Source organism: Homo sapiens, chromosome 11 (assembly GCF_000001405.40).
Source record: "Homo sapiens chromosome 11, GRCh38.p14 Primary Assembly".
Taxonomy (NCBI): domain Eukaryota; kingdom Metazoa; phylum Chordata; class Mammalia; order Primates; family Hominidae; genus Homo; species Homo sapiens.
In genome coordinates, this window is record NC_000011.10 from 14,478,532 (window position 1) to 14,501,589 (window position 23,058).

Consider the following 23,058-nt stretch of genomic DNA (forward strand, 5'->3'; position numbering starts at 1 on the left):
GTTGAACTGAACAATGGATACAGAAGAAGTACAAGGGATCAGTAAAAAAATAATAGTAAAGAAAGCAACCATTCATTCATTCATTTAGATTAAAAAAATAAATAGAGACAAAGTCTCACCATGTTGCCCAGGCTGGTCTCCAACTCCTGACATCCAGCAATTCTCCTGCCTTGGCCTCCCAAAGTGCTGGGAATACAAGTGTGAGCCACCATACCCAGCCAACAATTCTTTAGTTTAAAATGTTAAACTGAATAAAGTCCTTAGTCATCTTTCCCCTAAGATTTTAATTAAATTTATTCAGAAAAACTTAATTATAGAAACCAAAGCTCTAAGAGATTATGGCTGTCAAAAACAAATTCTTAATGTCATAGCTCTTTTAAAATTTGTTTAGCAGGCTTTCTGGTTTTTGCCGGAAAGCCCTCTCACAAAAAAAAAAAAAAAAAAAAAAAAAGCAAATCCTTAATATGATTTTCTTCTCACAAAGGAAGCAAATCCTGCTCTGCTCACTTCCATAAATATTAATATATTTTCATATCATAAAAACAATTTTGTACTTGTCCCTTCCTTCCTGAGACATATTTCAAGTCTGTTAGAGACTATCCATCAGATGCTTTAAATGAAGCAAAATTTAGATGCAACAGTCCTTTCTCATTAGCAAAGGCTCTCTGAAGGGAAAGACAGATTTAGGTTGCATTTTCAATCTTTCTCTTCATTAAATGTGAAAGGAAGATATAAATAATAGTAATAGCCAAAAAGTGATGCCATTTAAAAATATGCTCTTTAGTTACTTTAAGATTCACAATGTTTTAGAGAAAATCAGAATAGAGACCCTGAGCTAAATCACTCCTAAAAAAATTATTTTGGGCCATTTATTATAGACTAAATGAGAGTGGAGTTAGCGAGATGCTTGTTGTACAAACTTGTCTTATTTTGGCTTGATTGTCCTCTCCATTCTATTTTCTATCAACTGACCCTTTAAAGATAAAAACTGATAAAATGCTTACTTGACCTTACATTTAAATGTATTTTAAACCTACTTGACAGATTTAATAGCATGAAAGACTTCAAGCATCTTCTCAACAATAAGCATTCTCAGGTTATCAAAGCGCTGAATGGCTTCACGAACAAACTCCAAGACATCAGCAGCTGCTGCTTCGTTGTTGTCACTGAGAAATTCCATTAACTAAAAGAAAAAAAAAAAAAAGAAAATGGAACTAACAATTTTCGAAAAGAAAATTATCTAGGACAAGAAATAAATTAAAAGAATGTAATTCTTTTTTTGTTTTCTAAGAGACAGGGTCTTGCTTTGCTGCCCAGGCTAGAGAATAGTGGCACAATCATAGCTCACTGCAGCCTTGAACTCTTGGGCTCAAGTGATCCTCTGGCAGCCTCAGCCTCCCCAGGAGCTAGGACTTCAGGCATGACACTATGCCTAGCTAATATTAATTTTTTTGTAGAGACAGGGTCTCCCTATATTGCCCTGGCTGGTCTTGAATCCCTGGCCTCAAGTAATCCTCTTGCCTAGCCCTCCCAAAGTGCTCGAATTACAGACATGAAGTGCCATGCCTGACCCTTGTAATTCTTAATAATTTTCAAATACACAACAAAATGTAAATTGAGAGACAAGTACTATTATGTAAACAAAGTCACAATGGCTTTTCCATTTTATGTGCAGCAAAATTTATTTTAAAATTCACTATAAAAGATAAGCTAGAGATCCAAAACTCCAAATAAATAAATGAATTCGATCCTCCTAAATTGTAACTAAAATCATTTTAGAGAGAACTCAAGAGCTCAAAGGCAAAAATCAAATTATAATAACATACCTCACTTATCTGACAGTGACAGCAAAATATTCTACATATGTGAATTTTTCCTATAACTGATTCCTTTAAGAGCTAAAGCTATTTAAAATAAATACCTATTTGCCTTACTGAATAATATATATACACAGCATAATTTTACTTTAGGTAACTGTATCATCAATTAAAATAATATGCAAAGCTTTTTTTTGGTCACTGTTTTTGTTTTTTTGATGAATATATAAGTGAAAGAAGTCAGTCCTCACCCTTCTGAGTTTAAAGGTAGAGGTAGATATAAAGATCACTTCTCACCATGAGATTTAATGGTTCTAGGCAGCTGAGATTTCTGGAGTTTGTCAAATAACTATATTTTTTAAAAAATTCTTTTAGATAATTTCAAAATTAAAGTCATCAGAATTACATACCACAGGAATAACATTTGCAGCCATATCTGGAAATCGGACAGAACAGGAATGCAATGTTCGCACTAGGAGTTGTCTGTATTTGTCAGTATCTTCATGCTCAGACACATTATTTGTTTTTATCACTTCCTTCTTCAGGACAATAACCAGCTTATAGAATGAAGTAAAAATAAGTGAGAGTTACATCATATTTGGGCCTGATAGCTACAAAGTGCTGTCAGAGTTTCCTTTTACCTCTTCAACATTTCTAGAAGAGACAAGATCCAGTGCTAACTGCAGAGTTTTCTTTCGTACTTCTAAGTCTGGTGTGCTCAATACTCTTAGGATATCCATAACCAGATCCTAAAAAAGAAGAAAAAATCAAGAATTAACACCAATCTTTCTGGTCACAGGAAAAAAATCTTCACTGCAGAATGGTGGGGTTTATCTATCATCACTTTAATTCTTTAATCAATAACAAAACCACTAGTGGTGGAAGAACTAGATAGTTTGGGTCTCCTGATACACTGCAATATGAAATAATAGCACATGACACATTCAAACTGATAATGTTTACTTTGACTCTGTCAAGCTAAAGCTAAAGCTCCAACTTACAGTTTATAGAAAGTAACAGAAGTCAAAGAACAAGCTAAACAACGTAAGAAAGTAGCCATACACATCCAGAAAGAGGGGCATTTTATAGTATTACTGGTCTGGTCTCTTCAACAAATCAGTGTCATAAAAAAAAGATACTGTCCAAAATTAAGAGACTGAAAGGGCATAACCACCAAATACGATACATGGTCACAAAATGGGCAAACTAAACAAAAAGGGCTTTTGGGATAACTGGGAAAATCTACATATAGACTTGGTATTAGATAACATTCATAAATTATTAACAATTTCGTTAAATGTGATATTATTTGACTCCATAGGAAAATGTAACATTTAAAAGATGCACACTTAAAAACAATTCGAAACTGATAAAAAAGTTCTAAGAGTGAACTCCTGTATATCCTTCACCTACATTCACCAGTTAATATCTTCCCACATTTGCTCTTTTCTTTTTTTTGAGATGGAGTCTTGCTCTGTCACCCAGGCTGGAGTGCAGTGGCAAGATCTTGGCTCACTGCAACCTCTGCCTCCTGGGTTCAAGCAATTCTCCTGTCTCAGCCTCCTGAGTAGCTGGGACTACAGTTGCACACCACCATGTCCAGCTAATTTTTGTATTTTAATGGAGACAGGGAGGGTTTCACCATATTTGTCAGGGTGGTCTCGAACTCCTGACCTCAGGTGATCCACCTGCCTCAGCCTCCCAAAGTGCTGCGATTTTAGGCATGAGCCACCACACCTGGCCCACATTTGCTCTTTACTGCTGATAATTTTAGTGTATCTCTCTCAAGGGTAAGGATAATTTCTTATATAACCACATTATAATTATCAGAGAATTTAACACTGATCAATACTATTAACTAATATACACACCATATTCATATTTCTCAATCTGTCCCAATAATGTCCTTCATAGAAATTTGTTGTTGCTGTTGTTCTGATCCAAGATCAGCACTGCATTTACCTGCCATGGGGTTTTATTTTTATAACCATTATTATTCTCATGGATTAAACAAATATGGTGATAATTTTCTAGAATCAGATCACCTTTTATTCTCAATTGGTATAATAATTTTCCACGAAATGTAAATTATATTCAAATTAAAATGAGTATGTCACTGTCGCTAAGAATAGTCAATACAGTACAAACCGAAAAGATAAAAAAATATAATACTGATTCACTTTAGAAAAACATTTTTTTTTTTTGAGACAGAGTCTCACTCTGTTGCCCAGGCTGGAGTGCAGTGGCACGATCTCAGCTCACTGCAACCTCTGCCTCCTGGGTTCAAGTGATTCTCCTGCCTCAGCCTCCCAAGTAGTTGGGATTACAGGCGCACTTCACCACACCCAGCTAATTTTTGTTATTTTTAGTATAGACAGGGTTTTACCATGTTGGCCAGGCTGGTCTCAAACTCCTGACCTCAGATGATGTGCCCGCCTCTGCCTCCCAAAGTGCTGGGATTACAGGCGTGAGCCACCGCGTCCAGCCATTTTAGAAATATTTTTTGTGGTAAAGATAATACCCCAAAAGGCTATGATGACTCAATAGTTAACACTTTAGCTGATCAAAATATAAACTGCTCAGTTTCCAAGCATTTAGGTTAACCAAGATGGGCAAAGCTTGAGAATGACCTAAATTTGAAAAACATTTTATTTAGGATCTCTCTTTTTCAGATAACACTTACCTGTAGTACTCGTTCATGAGCAGGATGCTCTTTTAATTCTATCAAGCGATCCAAAACTATGAGTTTTACATTGTTGTCGCTCTCCTTAATAATTAAATCAATGTAACACTGAGCAGCAGCCTATATAAAAAAAGAAATACATTTTAAGAAGTTATTCATCTATCATAAAATTTGAAAATAAGCATGCGCGCGCACACCACACACACACACACACACACACACACACACTCCCATGAAGCCAAAATACACTCATTAATTAATCCCTGTACTAGAGTTTATATATTATACATTTTGTTCTGAGGAATGGGTTCCTCTAGTCCCTTGTTATTTTTCAAACTTACAGAAGATTAGAGGCATTACAAATTAAAAGGATGAAAAAAAGCTGCTATAGGTAGACATACTTACTAACAGCCAAAATTTAAGGGTTAAAACTAAGGAACAAGCCAGAAAAATGCAGGAAAAGAATCCCAAGAAGTACATCGATTAAGCATATTTCAGTTTAGAGGCAAAGTCTAACTCATCTGCATTGCAGTACACAAACAACAAGAATATAAAGATCACCCAGAGTTGTTAAAATATTTTAGTATTTATAATAACTATTAATAAGACAAAAAATGTGTAAAGTATTTTAGAATGATAGAATAAAATGTCCATACTGATACAAAGAAAGAAGGAAGGAAAAGAAGGGAGGGAGGGAAGAGAAAGAACAGCCCTTCCTTGCATAAGAATTCCAATAAATAAATACTGAATGAGAGAAATAGAAAACCACCATTAGAATACCAAAGCAATAATTGTAAGAAAATCCACTGATGGATGCTAAAATAAGTAGGTGTGAATTTGAGGAACAACATATTTGCATAGTTTCAAAGTATCTCCCCCTACAACATGTACTGATTACACTAGAAGAAATCATAAAACTGGAAGATCTGGCAGACAGCACCTTCACTGATCAAGGTTAACATCATCAGTAATAAGACATACAGACATCATGTACTCCTTGGTAAGATACACTAAGAAGGACACATCACTTCTGTGGTATTCTTTCCAAAAATGTACAACCTCAATCTGAGAAAACATCAGACAAACCCAAGTTACGGGATATTTTACAAACAAACCAGCCAGTATTCTTCAAATGCGTCAAGGTCATGAAAAATAATAAGTGACTAAGAACTAGCACAGATTGGAGGAGACTACGATATGACCACTGCATACAATATGGGATCCTAGGTTAGATCCTGAACAAAAAAAGGACGTCAGTGGGAAAACTGATGAAATATGAATAAAGCCTGTAGTTTGGTTAATAATATTGTTCTGATGTTAATTTTGTAGTTTTGACAATTATATGATTATAGAAAATGTGAACATATGAGAAAGGCTGGGTGAAGAATATATAAGAATGTTGTCCTCATCGGGCATGGTGGCTCATGCCTATAATCCCAGCACTTTGGGAGGTCGAGGCGGGTGGATCACAAGGTCAGGAGATCGAGACCATTCTGGCCAACATGGTGAAACCCTGTCTCTACCGAAAATACAAAAATTAGCTGGGTGTGGTGGCATGCGCCTGTAGTCCCAGCTACTCAGGAGGCTGAGGCAGGAGAATCACTTGAATCTGGGAGGCGGAGGTTGCAGTGAGCCAAGATCCCACCAGTATCTTCCAACCTGAGCGACGGAGTGAGACTCCGTCTCAAAAAACAAAAACAAAACAAAAAAACAACAACAGAAAAGAACTTTGTACTATGCAATTTTTCTGTAAGTTTAAAATTATTTCAAAATCAAAAATTAAAAAAAGTTCAAGTTTTGGGTAAAGCAGTAAATTCTCCAATTTAAACAATTTGGCTTTTAGAACAGCTCATTCTCTGAATAGATTAGGGGCTGATGATATAGTCTTGATAGAATAAATTAGAGAAAGGGAGAAAGGTAAATACTCTATTATTGAAAACACTCACTAAAACTTAAAATCTACATGTAACATTTTTCTTTTAATTTTTATTTTCTTAGAGACAGGGTCTCACTGTTTCACCTAGGCTGGAGTAATGATAGCTAACTGCAGTCTTGAACTCCTGGGCTCAAGCTATCCTCATGCCTCAGCCTTCAGAATAGCTGGGACTATAAGCACACACCACCATGCCCAGCTAATTCATATTATTTTTTGTCTTTCTCTGTTGCCTTGGCTGGAGTACAGTGGCACCACGATAGCTCACTGCAACCTCGAACTCCTGGCCTCAAACGATCATCCCACCTTGGCCTCCCAAAGTACTGGGACTCCAGGCATGCACCACCACACCTAGCACCAGCTAATTAAAAAAAAAAGGTTCTGTACAGATAGAGTCTCTCTTTGTTGCCCAGGCTGGTCTCAAACTCCTGGTTTTAAGCAATCCTCCCAGCTTGGCCTCCCAAAATGCTGGGATTTTAGGTGTTAGCCTCTGTGCCCAGCCACGCACGTAACTTTTGACTCCCCAAAAACTTAACTACTAATAACCTACTGTTGGCCAGAAGCCTTACCAATGACACAGTTGATTAAAACATGTTTTGTGGCCAGGCGCGGTGGCTTACGCCTGTAATCCCAGCATTTTGGGAAGCCGAGGTTAGCGGATCACTTGAGGTCAGGAGTTCAAGACCAGCCTGGCCAACATGGTGAAACTCCATCTCTACTAAAAACACAAAAAATTAGCTGGGCATAGCGGTGGGCACCTGTAATCCCAGCTACTCGGGAAGCTGAGGCAGGAGAATTGCTTAAACCCAGGAGGTGGAGGATGCAGTGAGCCAAGATTGCCTCACTCCAGCCTGGGTGACAAAGCAATACCTTGTCTCAAAACAAAACAAAACAACCCATATTTTGTATGTTAAATGTATTATATAATGTATTCTTATCAAGTAAGCTAGAAAAAAGAAAATGTTAAGAAAAGCATAAGGAAAATATTTACTACTCATTAAGAGGAAGTAGATCATCATAAAGGTCTTCATCCCCAACCTCTTTACACTGAGTAGGCTGAGGAGGAGGAGGAGGAAGAGGAAGAGGGATTAGTCTTGCTGTCTCAGGAGTAGCAGAGGTAGAAAAAAAGTCCATGTATAAGTGGACCTGCGCAGTTCGAACCTGTGTTGTCAGAGGTTAACTGTACTGTCATTCTCTGTCTGTATCTATATATGTGTGTATGAAAGCAGGAAGGAAGAAAAGAAGGAAGGCTGAACAATGTAAGGCATCAAATAATTTTATAAGTTTGTAGTTATTCTCTCTGTGCCATGTAACCACATAGTGAATTGAAATGTCACTAAATCATGAGTGCTAAGACAGAAAATCTATCATCTAATCTGGCCCCAAAAGAAATACACAGTACCTTGATTGCAGTTGGTGCACTAGAGAGTGTCACTAATGTCCCAGCAGCTTCATATTTTACAGCAGGGCTGGATGACTGTAATAAGTTATAGATGCAGCGAATAAAACGAGCTCTTTCTGATGGATTAGCATGACAGACCTGGAGAAGAAAACATTAACATTTCAACCGATTTCAGGAACGCTTGTTTTCAAATGGAGTTTTTTCATGAATGTCAGCTTATGGGATGCTAGTTTTCTCAATATGAAAGCTAAGAACAGTCTTATGAGGACATGAAAATATCAGACAAAATGGGATGAGACACTATGACACAACATCAGTAATTTCAGAAAGAAGCAAGTTAGAGGCCAACAAAAACATAGATAAGAAATGGCTTTACTAGATAGGATGGTGTGAACAAAATAATTTTTACAGCTGTGCACTTATTTATTCATCCCATCATAATTTATATTTTTACTGTTTCGTAAAAGGTTTTCTGATGACTTAAAATGTGTATGCTATACACAAGTGAAAGAGAAAAAGAAAATGTAAAGTAACAAAAGTAAGGACACATTAACCCAGTACACTAATATGGGTACTGTCACAGGATATTAAATTTGGTCCTAAATGTTTATTCTGGATGCCAAAGGGAAACATGACGGATGATATAAATCTCAATAGCTAATAAAAGGAAAATACCAGTTTTTCAAGCAAGAAAGATAACACATTTTTCCCAAGTACTACTACTTATTATTTGAGACTATATTCAACATTGGAGAGAAAACTAAAAATTTCTATCCCATTCTAAATGTATCCTGATACCTTTACTTGTATAGTAAATATCCCTTATTTTTTCTCTTTTGAAGTCAGTATTTGTAGTAGATTTTCCTAAAATATATATAGTCAAAACTCTATTACATGGACATGACTTAAAAGTTATTTCCTTTTACTATAACATGGACCCTACTTAAGTCATTAGATAGCAGGGAACCGCTAATTTTGAGAACCTCAGTGGTATCCTAAACTATACACATGAATTAAAAAGAACTATAGGCTGGACATGGTGGCTCACGCCTGTAATCTCAGCGCTTTGGGAGGCCAAGGTGGGCAGATCACGAGGTCAGGAGTTTGGGACCAGCCTGGCCAACATGGTGAAACCCCGTCTCTACTAAAAATACAAAAATTAGCTGGATACGGTGGCGTGCACCTGTAATCCCAGCTACTCAGGAGGCTGAGGCAGGAGAATCGCTTGAGCCCAGGAGGTAGAGGCAGCAGTGAGCCGCGATCGCACCACTGCACTCCAGCCTGGGCAATAGAGTGAGACTCTGCCCAAAAAAAACAAAAAACAACAAAAAAAAAACAAAAAAAAACTGTACAGTAAGTCTTGGTTTCATCTTAAATTCCCATTCCAAACTACTGGTACCTTGTGTTAAGAGGAGCCCCTTTCTTACAGAAGCAAGACAGCTATAATCAGTTAGTAATGTCTACCGGTGTTTTGACCATACTATCATATTTAATAAAGCCATCTGGACCTATGTTTTGTTGGCCTCTAATGGTATCAATAGCAAAGTTGGATCTTCTTGTACCTTTTATCAGAACATTAAGATGTAACCAACTCTTTCAAAGGATATATCATAGTAAAGTGTTGCCAATATAGTATTTGATTTAAAAATCCAAAATTCTTAGCTGGTTTTAGATTTCCTGTCAATGGCCTACAATGTCATATTAATGCATTTAAAGTTTTTCTATTCTCTTTTACAAACAGGGAACATAAAAAGTATTTAAGGCTTTTTTGTTTGATTTTAGTCTGATGTATGCTCAAGAAAATCTTGAATTTTATTTTAAAGCCTAATTATAATCTATTCAGTGACTGGGAAGTTCACAATGATTTATGTGCAGCTACACTGGCTCAAGCCATGAATTTTTATCAAAATCTTTATGGAGGTTTAGAAAGGATATAAGCAAGTATTCTACTTGGAAAATACAATAAACCAAAAGTAAAAGAAACAAAGGCTTTAATAGGCTATGCTATAAAATATTTATACTATTAAAATATATTATCCTAGCAATAATTATCCCAGAAAGAAAGTATTTAACCCTGTCTTAAACTGCTGAGTTTATTTTACTCATCATAGATTATCATTCTTACCTTATAAATCAGTTCAACAATAACCAGCTGCAGAATGTCTCCAAATGTTTGAACTTGATCAATGCAAGTACTTAAGTAATCCAAAGCTCGATCCTAAAAAAAATAAGAATATATTTATCATTCTCCACCTCATTCAATAGAAGGACTTAATGCATCTTAAAAAATACACACATTACAACTCAATATAAAACAAATGAGGAGATCAGGGCAAAGAGAAATTAACTGGGAAAAAAATCAAGAATAAAATTAACATATAAAATATAAGACATAAAGTTAAATATATTTTCTGGAAATGAGCCACAAACCTGGGGTCTGATTTTCTAGCAGCTAAACCAAAGAGGGAAAACACTATGTGTTATGGGATTCAGGGTATCCATACAATCAAAACCAGCTGCTTAGGTGTATAGTTATTCCTATTACTGAGACCTAAAAGAAAAATCTCCTATGTGTCCTCATATATTGGACACTGTAATATACAGAACTACAATGCTGAAAACATCTCTCCAGTAAAAGTATCAATAAATTTTATTGGACTATTTCTGATTACGCCCCTCAATGTAGGTTAACAGCATAATGCCAAAAGCATTGGTCAGTAAAACCAATTACACAAGAGGACAAAACACTGCTCATATACGCAGCTTTCTCATAATCTTGTTTAGGAAGACAAAATGACAATATTGAATACCACTTCACGTGCCCATTAACATTGCTACTATCAAAAAAACAATAGCAACAAGTGTTGGCATGGATGTGGAGAAAATGGAACCCTTGTGCACTACTAGTGAGAATGTAAAATGGTAGAGCTGCTGTGCAAAACAGTATGGCACTTCCTAAAATAATTAAAAACAGAATTGCTGTATATTCAGTAAATCCACTTCTGGGTGTATACCCAAAATAACAGAAAGCAAAGTCTCAAACAGATACGTGTACATCTACGTTCACAATAGCATTATTCCTAATAGCTAAAAGATTGAAGCAACCCAAGTGTCCACCAATGGATGAACAGGTAAACACAATGTAGCATATATTTACAATGGGGTATTATTTAGCCTTAAAAAGGAAAGAAATTCCAACACATGCCGCAACATAAATGAACCTTGAAGACATTAGGCTAAGTAAAATAAGCCAGTCACAAAAGGACAAATACTGTATGATTCCACTTATCCGGAATACTTAGTCAAAATCACAGAGACAGCAAGTAGAATGGTGGCTGCCAGGGACTGGGAGGAAGTGGTAATAAGGAGCTATTTTTTAATGGGTACAGAGTTTCAGTTTTGCAAGACAAAAAAAGTTATGAGGATGGAAGATAGTGATGGTTCTACATTATAAATGTATTTAAAATCATTGAACACTTAAAAATGGTTAAGAGGGTAAATTTTTTTGTTATGTGTATGTTACCACAATTTTAAATAACTGGGGGACAATCCATTAAAGGAAGATCTGGGGGAAAAAAGTCACAGTGTCTAGATTTCAGAGGACTGGAAGGCCTCCATATTTTTCAGACTTCATGCATATTATTTCCCATATTTTGGTGATAAATACTGGCTAGAAAATTTCAAGATTAGATGGCATCAAGGTGTACAGAGTAATTGCTAACCAAAAGTAGATCCATGTACTTTAACCACCAGCAGAGCAGGATGTGGAGTTGGCACCCGTGTATGAAAGTTGAAGAACCTAAAAGGATACACCTCTACACTGAAGGCCACCCTATTTCCACAGGCATGGCTAAGGATGTATCTATGCAAAGCTACTATTTTTCTCTACTAAACAATTTTAGATCTATACCATCATAGGAAAGAACAGTCATAATAATTTTAATTTTTAAAAACTGTAGGGTGGCTGCTCTAAAATGCCTCTTCAATGTTTAATTGAAAAAAGAATGTATACATATGCAATATTTTAGAGAAGGGTTAAGAAAAAAATGTATTTTTCTACAAGCTTAAAAATTTCAAAATACACAAACCACATGAACTATAAACAAAATTACTGACTAAAAACATGATTAAGTCTATGTAATACTTTCAATTGTCACTTAAATACAGTAATAAGAGTATTTTTTAAAAAGTACCTCACCTGATCTGCATGAATTAGCATCATAAATGCATTCCTTTTGCAACTTGCATCCTTCTCATTCACCAGAAAATCATGTATCAGTTCAGGAGCATCAGGTATAAGATGTTCAAAATTTCTTTAAATAAAACAGGTAACATCCATATTTAATAAAAGCCTACTTTACTATTTTAGTAACTCTCTGGACAATACCAAAATTAAATTTAATCAAACTTTACAACATACTTTTGCTTTTTTTTTTTTTTGGAGACAGAGTCTCACTCTGTTGCCTGGGCTGGAGTGCAGTGGTGCGATCTCAGCTCACTGCTGCCTCCACTTCCAGGGTTCAAGCAATTCTCCTGCCTCAGCCTCCCGAGTAGCTGCGATTATAGGTGCCCACCACTATGCCCAGCTAATTTTTTGTATTTTTAGTAGGGATGGGGTTTCACCATGTTGGCCAGGCTGGTCTTGAACTCCTGACCTCATGATTTGCCCACCTTGGCCTCCAAAGTGCTGGGATTACAGGTGTGAGCCACCGTGCCCAGACAAGGCTAGAGTGCAGTGGAGTGATCTCGGCTTACTGCAACCTCCGCCTTCTAGGTCGAGTGATTCTCCTGCCTCAGCCTCCTGAGTATCTGGGACTACAGGCACGTGCCACCATGCCAGGCTAATTTTTGTTATTTTTTTAGTAGAGACAGCATTTTGCCACGTTGGCCAGGCTTGTCTCATATTCCTGACCTCGAGTGATCCACCCACCTCGGCTTCCCAAAGTGCTGGGATTACAGACATGAACCACCACGCCCGGCCTGCTTTTTGAAACTTCAAATCAATTAGAACTGGGAGAAGGAGCCGGGCGCAGTGGCTCACACCTGTAATCCCAGCACTTTGAGAGGCCCAGGTGGGCGGATCACCTGAGGGTGGGAGTTTGAGATGAGCCTGACCAACATGGAGAAACTCCATCTCTACTAAAAATACAAAATTAGCCAGGCGTGGTAGCGCATGCCTGTAATCCTAGCTACTTGGGAGGCTGAGGCAGGAGAATTGCTTGAACCTGGGAGGTGGAGGCTGCAGTAAGCTGAGATCGTGCCATTGCACTCGAGCCTGGGCGACAAGAGTGAAACTCTGTCTCAAAAAAAAAAAAAAAAAGGAACTGGTAGAAGGAAACACAAAGTTATACCTTCATCTATTAAATTATCAAATTATACGTTTTCTAGTTCAATACAGAAAAAGCTGATTTATTCAACACACCATCTGTTAACCAATGTCTCTAATAACTGTTGTGCATACATTTTAAGCATATCAATATATTAAGAATTACATTAAGAGGAAAAACATAGTCCCTTGAATTTTATTAGTTGTGTACTATTTGCTTACTGACTTGCCTCTTCTTTTGGAAATTTAGAAATATTAGTACAGAGAAGAGTGAACACTAGCTTAATAAAATCCATCACCTTGCTTCAACAATTATAATTCATAGCTAGTTTTGTTTCATCTATATCCTTGCCAAATTTACCTCTTGCCATATTATTTTGAAGCAAATCACAGGCAATGTATCCTTTCTTCTGTAAATATATTGGTAGGTTTCTCTAAAATCAAGGACTCTTTACTTGCAAAACTAATTATTCATCATCACACCTCACAAAATTAATAATTTCCTAATATCAAGACATAGTGTTCACATTTCCAATTGTCCTATAAATGGCCTAATTTTTCTATGTGCACTATAGTTTAAATTCTGAAATTTGTGTAGTCTGTATGGTAACATTAAAGGAACTCACCCTACATTATTATTATTATTATTATTTTTATTATTATTTTTTGAGATGGAGTTTTGGTTTTGTTGCCCAGGCTAGAGTGCAATAGCGCGATCTCGGTTCATCGCAACCTCTGCCTCCCAGGTTCGAGCAATTCTTCTGCTTCAGCCTCCTGAGTAGCTAGGACTACAGGCATGTGCCACCACGCCCAGCTAATTTTGTATTTTTAGTAGAGACGGGGTTTCTCCATGTTGGTCAGGCTGGTCTCGAACTCCCGACCTCAGGTTATCGGCCCGCCTCGGCCTCCCAAAGTGCTGGGATTACAGGCATGAGCCACCACGCCTGGCTCATCTACATTATTAACCAGAATACCACTTTCCTTAATGGATAAAATCTAACAGTAAGATAACTATGAAATTATATCTTAACCAACAAATCTACTAAAGTACAAAGATGCTTATAAAAATTACATTGTAGTCCTTAATAAATTGATACCTGTGACTGTAAAAACTGAGCATTCTAGCTTCATCTAACTGGTTCCTTAAATTGGTTTAAAAATCCAAAATCTCAGCCGGGCGTGGCAGCCTGCACCTACAATCCCAGCACTTTGGGAGGCCAAGGCGAGTGGAACACTTGAGGTCAGGAGTTCGAGACCAGCCTGGCCAACATGGTGAAACCCCATATCTACTAAAAATACAAAAATTGGCTGGGCGTGGTGGTGGGTGCCTGTAATCCCAGCTACTTGGGAGGCTGAGGCAGGAGAATCACTTGAATCCGGGAGGTGGAGGTTGTTGTGAGCCGAGATCGCGCCACTGTGCTCCAGCCTGGGCAACGAGAGTGGAACTCCATCTCAAAACAAAACAAAAACAAATAAAAATTCAAAATCTTCAGCTTTCTAAGAATTGGACTCAGTTATAACTGTAGCCCTTCTCATTTAAAAAGTTCCTTCCTCAAAGCTTCTGACAGTAAAAAGACCGACATTCCACAAAACGAATTCTAAAACAAGGACCAAAGTTAAAAGCCTATAGAGGCTAAGCAAGTGAACATATAAAGTGGCTTGGAGTAATACGGTTGAGAATGACAAGCACTGTCATAAACTGTAAAGTATATAACTTATTTAAAGGGGGTTACTGTTATACAAGTTCAGCAGAATGTTGTCTTGTGGAAGCTAGGAACAGCGCTGCCAGATCTTTTGACTTTTCAATGTTCATAATAAAAAATACAGTGCTGGCCATACAAAATATATCTTCAAGCTATATTCAGTCTGCAAGCAACCACTTTGGAACCACTAGTCTAAAAGACTAAACAGTACTCACAGAATGAAGCCAAAGCAGTATCTTTATTTACCTATAGATGGTATAGATGGCCAAAACAGCATTTCTTCTAACATAGCTGTGTCGATGCTCCAAACATGCACGAATAGCTGGCATTAAAGGTTCTAGCAATTCTGCTTCTTTCAATTTGCAAAGAAAACGAAGAGTAGATCCTCGAATAAATTCATTAGGATGTTGAAGATCCTGATATAAAAATTAAAATATGAAATGCTGAGTTTCAGCTTTTTACAAAAAGAAAATTTTAATGCAAAACTTTCCAATGGAAAAAAAATACGTTTGAGAAAAAACCTAGATTACCGACAATTTCCATCATATTCTTGTTGACTGAAGCAATTTTTACCTATCTCATCAATGTCTTATATGTGTGTCACTGTTTTTTAATTAATATATACACATAAAATGCATAGAAAATGTCTGAAAAGTGACAATAAAACTTTTAAAAATAACTCTTTTACAATTCCAAATCTCTACAACTTACATCTTATCAAAGACTCAATTTTAACAATTAAAACACAGCCCATTCTACCAATTTTACATTTAAATTCAAAGCAATATTCAGAAATAATTATGATTTGGTTTACCTTTCTGTATGCATCACATACAAGGATCATCTCATGTAAAAGTCTCCCATCTGGAGTTGTTTTAGGAACAATTTCCCAAAATACCAGAAGTAATTTCTTGATAGTGTGATCCTGAAGAGGTAGCACAAAACGAATGATGGTCATCAGAAGTCCAGGAAGTTTTTCACCATTCAGAATCATAATGATTACTTTCTTCAAAGCTTCAGTCTTTGACTTTACATCTCCTTTTTCTGAATCAAAAATTTTTTTAAAAAAAAGCACAATTATTTCAAAAGAAAATTCATCACATAAATTTAAAAGCAATTAACAAAATAAAATGTACCTTCTTACTTCAGTATCAGCAATGGTAATAAAAGTACAAACCCAAGTGACAAGGTTCTCCACCTGGTTCTCCACCAAATAATCTGTCTTTGCTCAAGTCATTTATCTCTGGAAATCAGACTCTTTATATATAATATGAAGGCGCTGGATTAGATTTCTGGTTCCTAACCAATTGAGTTAATGCAGGCTCCATGAATCTACAGTCATACCAAGTAAACGTGTTTCAAAACACATATAGCTATTTTTCAAAATGTAAATACATACTATTAATTGATTTTGAATTCAAAACAGCTTTTAGCTATTTGTGTGCATTTTAACAAAGTTAAAACTACTATTATGGGAGGATAAATATGTAACTTTTTTAACATTAGAAAGAGAAACGTCATACTCAAAAAGGCTGAAAACTAAAGTAGTGGATTATTTCTAAAATCTCATCATAGTTCTGCAGGCAGGCTGTAAAACTTTAGAATCTTTCTTAAGATATCATCTGGAAAACTGGGAGGTAATTCAAATGTTCTAGATTAGTAGTCATTATTTAGAATTAAGGATGACACATTAAAGATAAAATGCTAGTTTACTGTTATTTAGCCTAAAAACTCTGCAACATAAAGTATTTTACGCAAAACTATCTAAAATTTCACACCATTATCATTGCATACTGAAGAATTTATAGTACTAAAAATCTTCTGGATCCAAAACTCAAAGGCAGAGAAGTATGTAGTAGCACACTGTACTACAACTGTTTAGATCATCAAAATAAATGAATTATCTTGGGAAGGGGAGAACAAAGAATGATTACAAGTCTTCAATAACCTTAGGGCCATTATGAGGAAAAGAACTACAACTAATGGGTAGTAGTTACCGGGAACCAGATTTGGGCCTAAATATGAGAAATACATTTCTAATGATTAGAGCTAAGCGGCTATGAAACAGAGTTCTGAGCGTCAGATGCGGTGGTTCATCTGGCCCACAGAACTCTTCATTTAATAGCCACTTAAAATTTTTGTATTTTTACTAGAGATGGGGTTTCGCCATGTTGGCCACGCTGGTCTCGAACTCCTGAAGTCAAGTGATCCACCTGCCTCAGCTTCCCAAAGTGCTGGGATTACAGGCATGAGCCACCATGCCCAGTCTCAACTCTTCTTAATGGCAAAAATATACATTAAACTGGAGAGTATGTATTTATTTATTGGTTGGAGGAAGGTAGCTAAGGCAGCTTCAATTAAGACTAGGGCATTGTTCCAACTAAGGGCAGATTTTATTCTTTACCTTCCTAGCTATAACCTTAGGTATCCTGAGGATCTAACAATGAAAATTTTTAAATTATGAGGAAAAACACTAATGAATGTATTCACTATTTTGCATTCAACTATCCTACATGAACATGAAAAAAGGGAAATATATGTGGCTTATGTATATAATGGTATCATTTTAAATATCATAAAACTGGGTTTCTTTTCCCTTCTCTAAAAATAGACCTCAATAGAAACCTAGTATTAAGTAACCTAGAATCAGGAGGTATTCCATTACTGCTGATTAAGAAGTGGGAATAGGCAAGTAAAATATTAAGTTTCTTTTCAAACTGCAAACTATCTTCTAAAAGATCCTTTCTATATTTGAAGCATAATTTTCACTCTGCTCTGTTTAAACAATATTTATCAGTTTAAGTTGTATTTATTTTTAGCAGTTCAATTAAACAAGAATCATTACTTTGGAAAGCATATTAATTATAAATTTTTTTTTTCTTGACAGAATCACTCACAAAAAGGAGACACGGTATACATTTTTAAAATTCAGAAATATGATAAATTTAGTAAAGTTCCAGGACACAAAATCAACATACAAAAATCAGTAGCATTTCTATATGACAACAGTGAACAATCTGAAAAAGAAATTGAAGAAGTAATCTAATCCCATTTACAATACCCACAGATAAAATTAGATACCTAGGAATTAATTTAACCAAATAAATGAAAGATTTCTACAATGAAAACTATAAATACTGATGAAAGAAATTGAAGAGAACATCAACAAATGGAAAGATATTCCATGATCATGGATTAGAAGAATCAGTATTGTTAAAATGTCCATACCACCCAAAGCAATCTAGAGTCAATGCAATTCCCATCAAAATACCAATGACATTCTTCACAGAAAAAAAAAAAAAATCCTAAAATTTATATGGAACCACAAAAGACCCAGAATAGCCAAAGCTATCCTAAGCAAAAAGAACAAAACTGAAGGAATCACATTACTTGACATCAAATTATCCTACATAGCTACAGTAACCAAAACAGCATGGTACTGGCATAAAAACAGACATAAAGACCCATGGAAAATAACAGAACCAAGAAACAAATCCATACACCTACAGTGAACTCATTTTGACAAAGGTGCCAAGAACATACATTGGAGAAAAGACAGTCCCTTCAATAAATGGTGCTTGGAAAACTATGTGCAGAAGAATGAAACTTGTCCCCCATCTCTCAACTTACACAAAAATAAAATCAAAATGGATTAAAGGCTTAAATCTAAGACTTTAAACTATGAAACTACTACAAGAAAATATTGGGAAAAATCTCCAGGACGCTGGTCTGGCCAAAAATTTCTTGAATAATACCCCACAGGCACAGGCAACCAAAGCAAAAACGGACAAATGGGATCACATCAAGTTAAAAAGCTTCCGCACAGCAAAGGAAACAATCGACATACGTGATGAGACAACCCACAGAATGGGAGAAAATATGTGCTAACTACCTATCTCACAAGGGATTAATAACCAGATATGTAAGGAGCTCAAACAACTCTACAGGAAAAAAAAAAACTCATAATCTGATTTAAAAATGGGCAAAAGATTTGAACAGACATTTCACAAAGACATACAATTGGCAAACAGGCATATGAAAAGGTGCTCAACATCACTGATCATCAGAGAAATGCATATCAAAACTACAATGAGATATCATCTCACCCCAGTTAAAATGGCTTTTATCCAAAAGACAAGCAAAAACAAATGCTGGAGAGGATGTGGAGAAAAGGGAACCCTCGTACACTGTTGGTGGGAATGTAAACTAGTATACCCACTATGGAGAACAGTTTGGAGGGTCCTCAAAAAACTAAAAACAGGGGTACCATACGATTCAGCAATCCGACTACTGGGTATATATCCAAAAGAAAGGAAATGAGTACATCAAAGAGATATCTGGACTCCTATGTTTGTTGCAGCACTGTTTACAACAGTCAAAACTTGAAAGCAACCTAAGTGTCCACCAACAGATAAATGTATAAAGAAAATGTGGTACATATACACAATGGAGTACTATTCAGCCATAAAAAAAGAATGAGATCTTGTCATTTGCAAAAATATGGATGGAACTGGAGGTCATTATGTTACATGAAATAAGTCAGGCATAGAAAGACAAACTTCACATGTTCTCACTTATTTGTGGAAGCTAAAAATCAAAACAAACTCACGGAGACAGAGTAAAAGGATGGTTATCAGAGGTGGGAAGGGTAGTGGTAGGGAAGTGGAGATGGTTAATGGGTACAGAAAAAATGAGTTAGACCCGATATTTGATAGCACACAGGGTAACTACAGTCAATAATAATTTAATTGGACATTTAAAAATAACTGAAAGTGTAACTGGATTGTCACACAGAAGACAAATGCTTGAAGGGATGGATACTCCATTTTTCCATGTGATAATTATGTATTGCATGCCTGTATCAAAGCATTTCATGTACCCCATAAATATATACATCTACTGTGTACCCCCAAAAATTAAACATTACAAAAAGTTCAGAAATATAGTTGTTTTCTTATTTGCAAAAATGCATAAAAAATGAAAAGGTAAACTTTTCTGGAAAATACATGTTTATTCCAGTGTTCACCTAATTGTTTGGGTGGGTAATCCAAAGAACAAAGTTCTTTTGGTTTTACAAGCTAAGTAACATGAAGTTAAGTGCACGATGGAATTAAGATATTCCAATACACATCCTCAACCTGTTGCCTAGAGAAAATAATCAGCCACATTAATATATTGAAGTCTACAAAAATTATGACATTTTGAGGAATATCTAAACTATTACAATTTCTTTAGGTTTACTAAGATAAACTGAGATGTTCTATTTCAAACAACCAATATTTAAAGAAGTTCGCATTTTTAATAAAAGGTCTATCGAAGAGATCCTAGAAAAACTTTAGACAAAAATTAAGCATTTCTAATTATAAAGGAATATGAAATATGAGTTTTTTATTTTTGTTTTTTCTTTTTTCATTTCATTCTCAAAATAATATCGAAGTTTACCTAGATCATTTTTTAAGCTAATTTCAGATGGTGGTTCTGAATCCATTGGCACGTTAATTAACGTGTAGCATACGTTCTCAGCCGCCGTCATGGTTTCTGGTTATATTATAACCAATCCTTGACACAAGATTTAAGGATGCCAGAAAATCTAGAAAAATAAACACAGACATATCATTACAAATTAAAAAAAAAAAACCCACAAACAAGTACCTATAGTGACCTTTTAAAGTATTAGAAAGGGCAGGTCAATCTATATCGTGTTCCCATAAAAATAAATTCTAGTAAAAACCACATTATCAGCTCTGGCATAAGGTATATTATCTATCACTCCCTCATCGCATCCCGGTCCAGTGTTTGAGAATGCTGTATAGCCGAATGAAGGCCCACAGAACAGTGACAGTCCCCCCAGCCACACCCCACAATGTTATGGACCGTATGGTTTTTACACAACACACAATCTGCATGCTCAAGTTAAGAGACCTTGTGCCTGAATACTCTGCCAAAACCCTAAAGCGCTTTATCGCGGTCCTTGGTGGGTTCCGACTCTATGTCCGCGGGTCCCTTAATCAACGCGCTGCACCCCCACCTCGCCCCACCCGCTTCCTCCTCCCCTTCCTCCAGCAAAGCAGCCCTAGGCCTGAAAGGGTACGCCTAGGGGTCTTGGGAGGGAAAAGACCCCCGGCCAATACAAAGGACGGGATGGAGCGTCCGACCCGGAGCTTCCTAGCCCTCCGCCCCCACCCCGACCCGCACCCCCACCCGTACCCCCACCCGGTCCCTTCTGCCAGGCCCAGACGCAAGCGGCCTAGTCGCTCCCCTTCCGCATCTTCCAGCTAGAAAGCCAGTTCTTCCGACTCTGCCCGACCCACCACGCCTCTGGGACTGGGGGCTTGTGGCCCACTACCAGGCTCCGAGGGGCAGTGGTTTGGTGCAGCCGCGGATCCGTCTACTGCGGCTCCGTCTACTCCGGCTATGAACCGCAGCAGCGGCGGCGGCGGCTCCAGAGTCCTTGGCTGACGTGGAAGGGGGTGGGGTAACGACCGAAGCCACAGCCACCTAGCACCTACGGCGACTCAGAGAGGACATGCTTTCTTTGTGCAGCGCTTGCGCGCTGCAAGTATATCCTATTTTCTTCCTCTTCTCTTGTCCAGGGTTTGATTAGGCCGCAGAGCAATGAAACCACGTATTTTCTAGTTTTCCCTGCAAGCCAAGCTCTGAGTTAAGCACTATGCTAATTTAAACGCTAACTGGAAATCGTTCCTTCTTCAGGAACAGTCAAGGGGAGAAAGTGCTTGGAGAGAGGGAAACTTTTACAGGGCTCTGTTCCCGTGAAAAAGAGCTCTGGACTAGAAAGTGGAAACCCAGTAATCCTTTTTCTTGTCCACACCCTAATAAACTGGGAAAGTAACTAATACTATTGGGAAGGTAATTCAGTTATTTTATTAATTATCACTAGATTAAAATCCATTTCAGTTCTTAACATCGCTAGTAGTTTGAATCTGCCTCTCTGCAGGTAGGGCTGGAGTTATTTGAAAATCCAAAGTCACATTGGTATAATTTCTGCTTTTTATTTAATAATGGCCTCTTTCCGTGATCCTTTCTGAGCACCCAGTAGATTAGAAAAAATTTTTATGCATAAAGGGAGACAGTCACTGTTTTAAAGGATTTTACGTATCTCCAAAGACCTGTTACAGCTGCAATCAGCCATAGTACTTTCGGTTTTGCCCATTTGAAGTTCCATAGCACGCCCCGCCCCTACACCTCCCTCTGCCCACAAAAGGGTTTTATGGCCAATTATTAATAACAAAATATCTTAAAGCTTAAGCAAAATACTGCGAATAAAAACAGATCTGACGGCAACTGCCCTAGTTAACAGGTTCATCTCAGGAAGATGGAACACCAATAGTACCTCATTTATGTAGGATCTAGCTCTTTTGAGCTTTCTCTTTTTAGAACCATCAAGCAATCTACAAATTCTTTGAGCACCCAAAATTGTATTCAAAGGCCATGTGTTGACAGCACTTTAAGAGTGCCTCTCTGATTCTGTGCATTCATTTTTTTTAATATTTAATCTTAATGGTAGAGTGACATGAATACAGAGATCCCATATACTCTTTACCTAGTTTCTCCCAATGGTAACATCTTGCATAGTTATAGTACAATATCAATTTCAGGAAATTGACAGACATAATTCACCCAGCCTTGTTCAGACTTCACTAGTTTTACATGTACTCGTTTTTATATTCACTTGTAGACAATTTTATCATGCTTATATGTGTGTAATCACCAACACAGTCGAGACAGAACAGTTCTATCACAAGGATTCTCATGCTGTCCTTTGATAGCCATAGCCACCTCCCACACTAACCTGTGGCAACCACTAATAATTCTCTATGATTTTTATCATCTCAATGTTATATAAATGGAATTATACAATGTAATCTTTTGAGATTGGATTTTTTTACTGAGCATAATTCCCCTGAGATCAATCCCGGGTGTGTGTACAACAGTTTGTTCCTTTTCTGTGTATTCGTTTTTAACATGGAAGTTTTACAAATGCAGTTATCTGGTTTCCAAGCCCACTTAACTTACCAAAAAGTGACAATCTGTCAGCAAGAAATGAGGCCAAAAAAGGTATAAAAACTAGATTTACAGTAAGAAAGCTCAGTTTAGGGCCATCATGGTGTAGGACTTAAACCGTACAGACTTCATTTGCCCCAGAGGTTCATTCTGTTACAGAATAACTTTGAGG

The 23,058-nt window shown here is 36.9% G+C and overlaps 1 protein-coding gene and 1 pseudogene across 3 annotated transcripts in view, besides 1 other annotated feature; one reads left to right on the forward strand and one right to left on the reverse strand.

The window, feature by feature from the left end:
* The window catches only part of COPB1 (coat protein complex I subunit beta 1), a 42,300-nt gene extending 21,020 nt beyond the window's left edge, over positions 1–21,280 (reverse strand). Inside the window, exons 1-11 of one of the 3 annotated variants that reach the window (NM_001144062.2) lie at positions 21,211–21,280; positions 20,307–20,454; positions 15,679–15,908; positions 15,111–15,280; positions 12,034–12,148; positions 9,961–10,053; positions 7,836–7,973; positions 4,501–4,620; positions 2,459–2,566; positions 2,228–2,374; positions 1,038–1,183 (exon numbers count right to left, since the gene is read on the reverse strand). In NM_001144062.2, coding sequence (NP_001137534.1) covers positions 1,038–1,183; positions 2,228–2,374; positions 2,459–2,566; positions 4,501–4,620; positions 7,836–7,973; positions 9,961–10,053; positions 12,034–12,148; positions 15,111–15,280; positions 15,679–15,908; positions 20,307–20,397 — 1,358 coding nt within the window. In that variant the 5' untranslated portion in view covers positions 20,398–20,454; positions 21,211–21,280. Of the gene's footprint in view, positions 1–1,037; positions 1,184–2,227; positions 2,375–2,458; positions 2,567–4,500; positions 4,621–7,835; positions 7,974–9,960; positions 10,054–12,033; positions 12,149–15,110; positions 15,281–15,678; positions 15,909–20,306; positions 20,455–21,077 lie in introns of all 3 variants that reach the window. The other 2 variants (NM_001144061.2, NM_016451.5) reach the window with 2 other exon arrangements.
* RNU7-49P (RNA, U7 small nuclear 49 pseudogene) lies at positions 363–419 on the forward strand (annotated as a pseudogene).
* Positions 21,402–21,501: an enhancer, noted in NCBI's record as "active region_4474". NCBI's record gives its function as "activates an Ori minimal core promoter by ATAC-STARR-seq in GM12878 lymphoblastoid cells {active_cell/tissue: GM12878}" and the evidence as "EXISTENCE:reporter gene assay evidence [ECO:0000049][PMID:35858748]".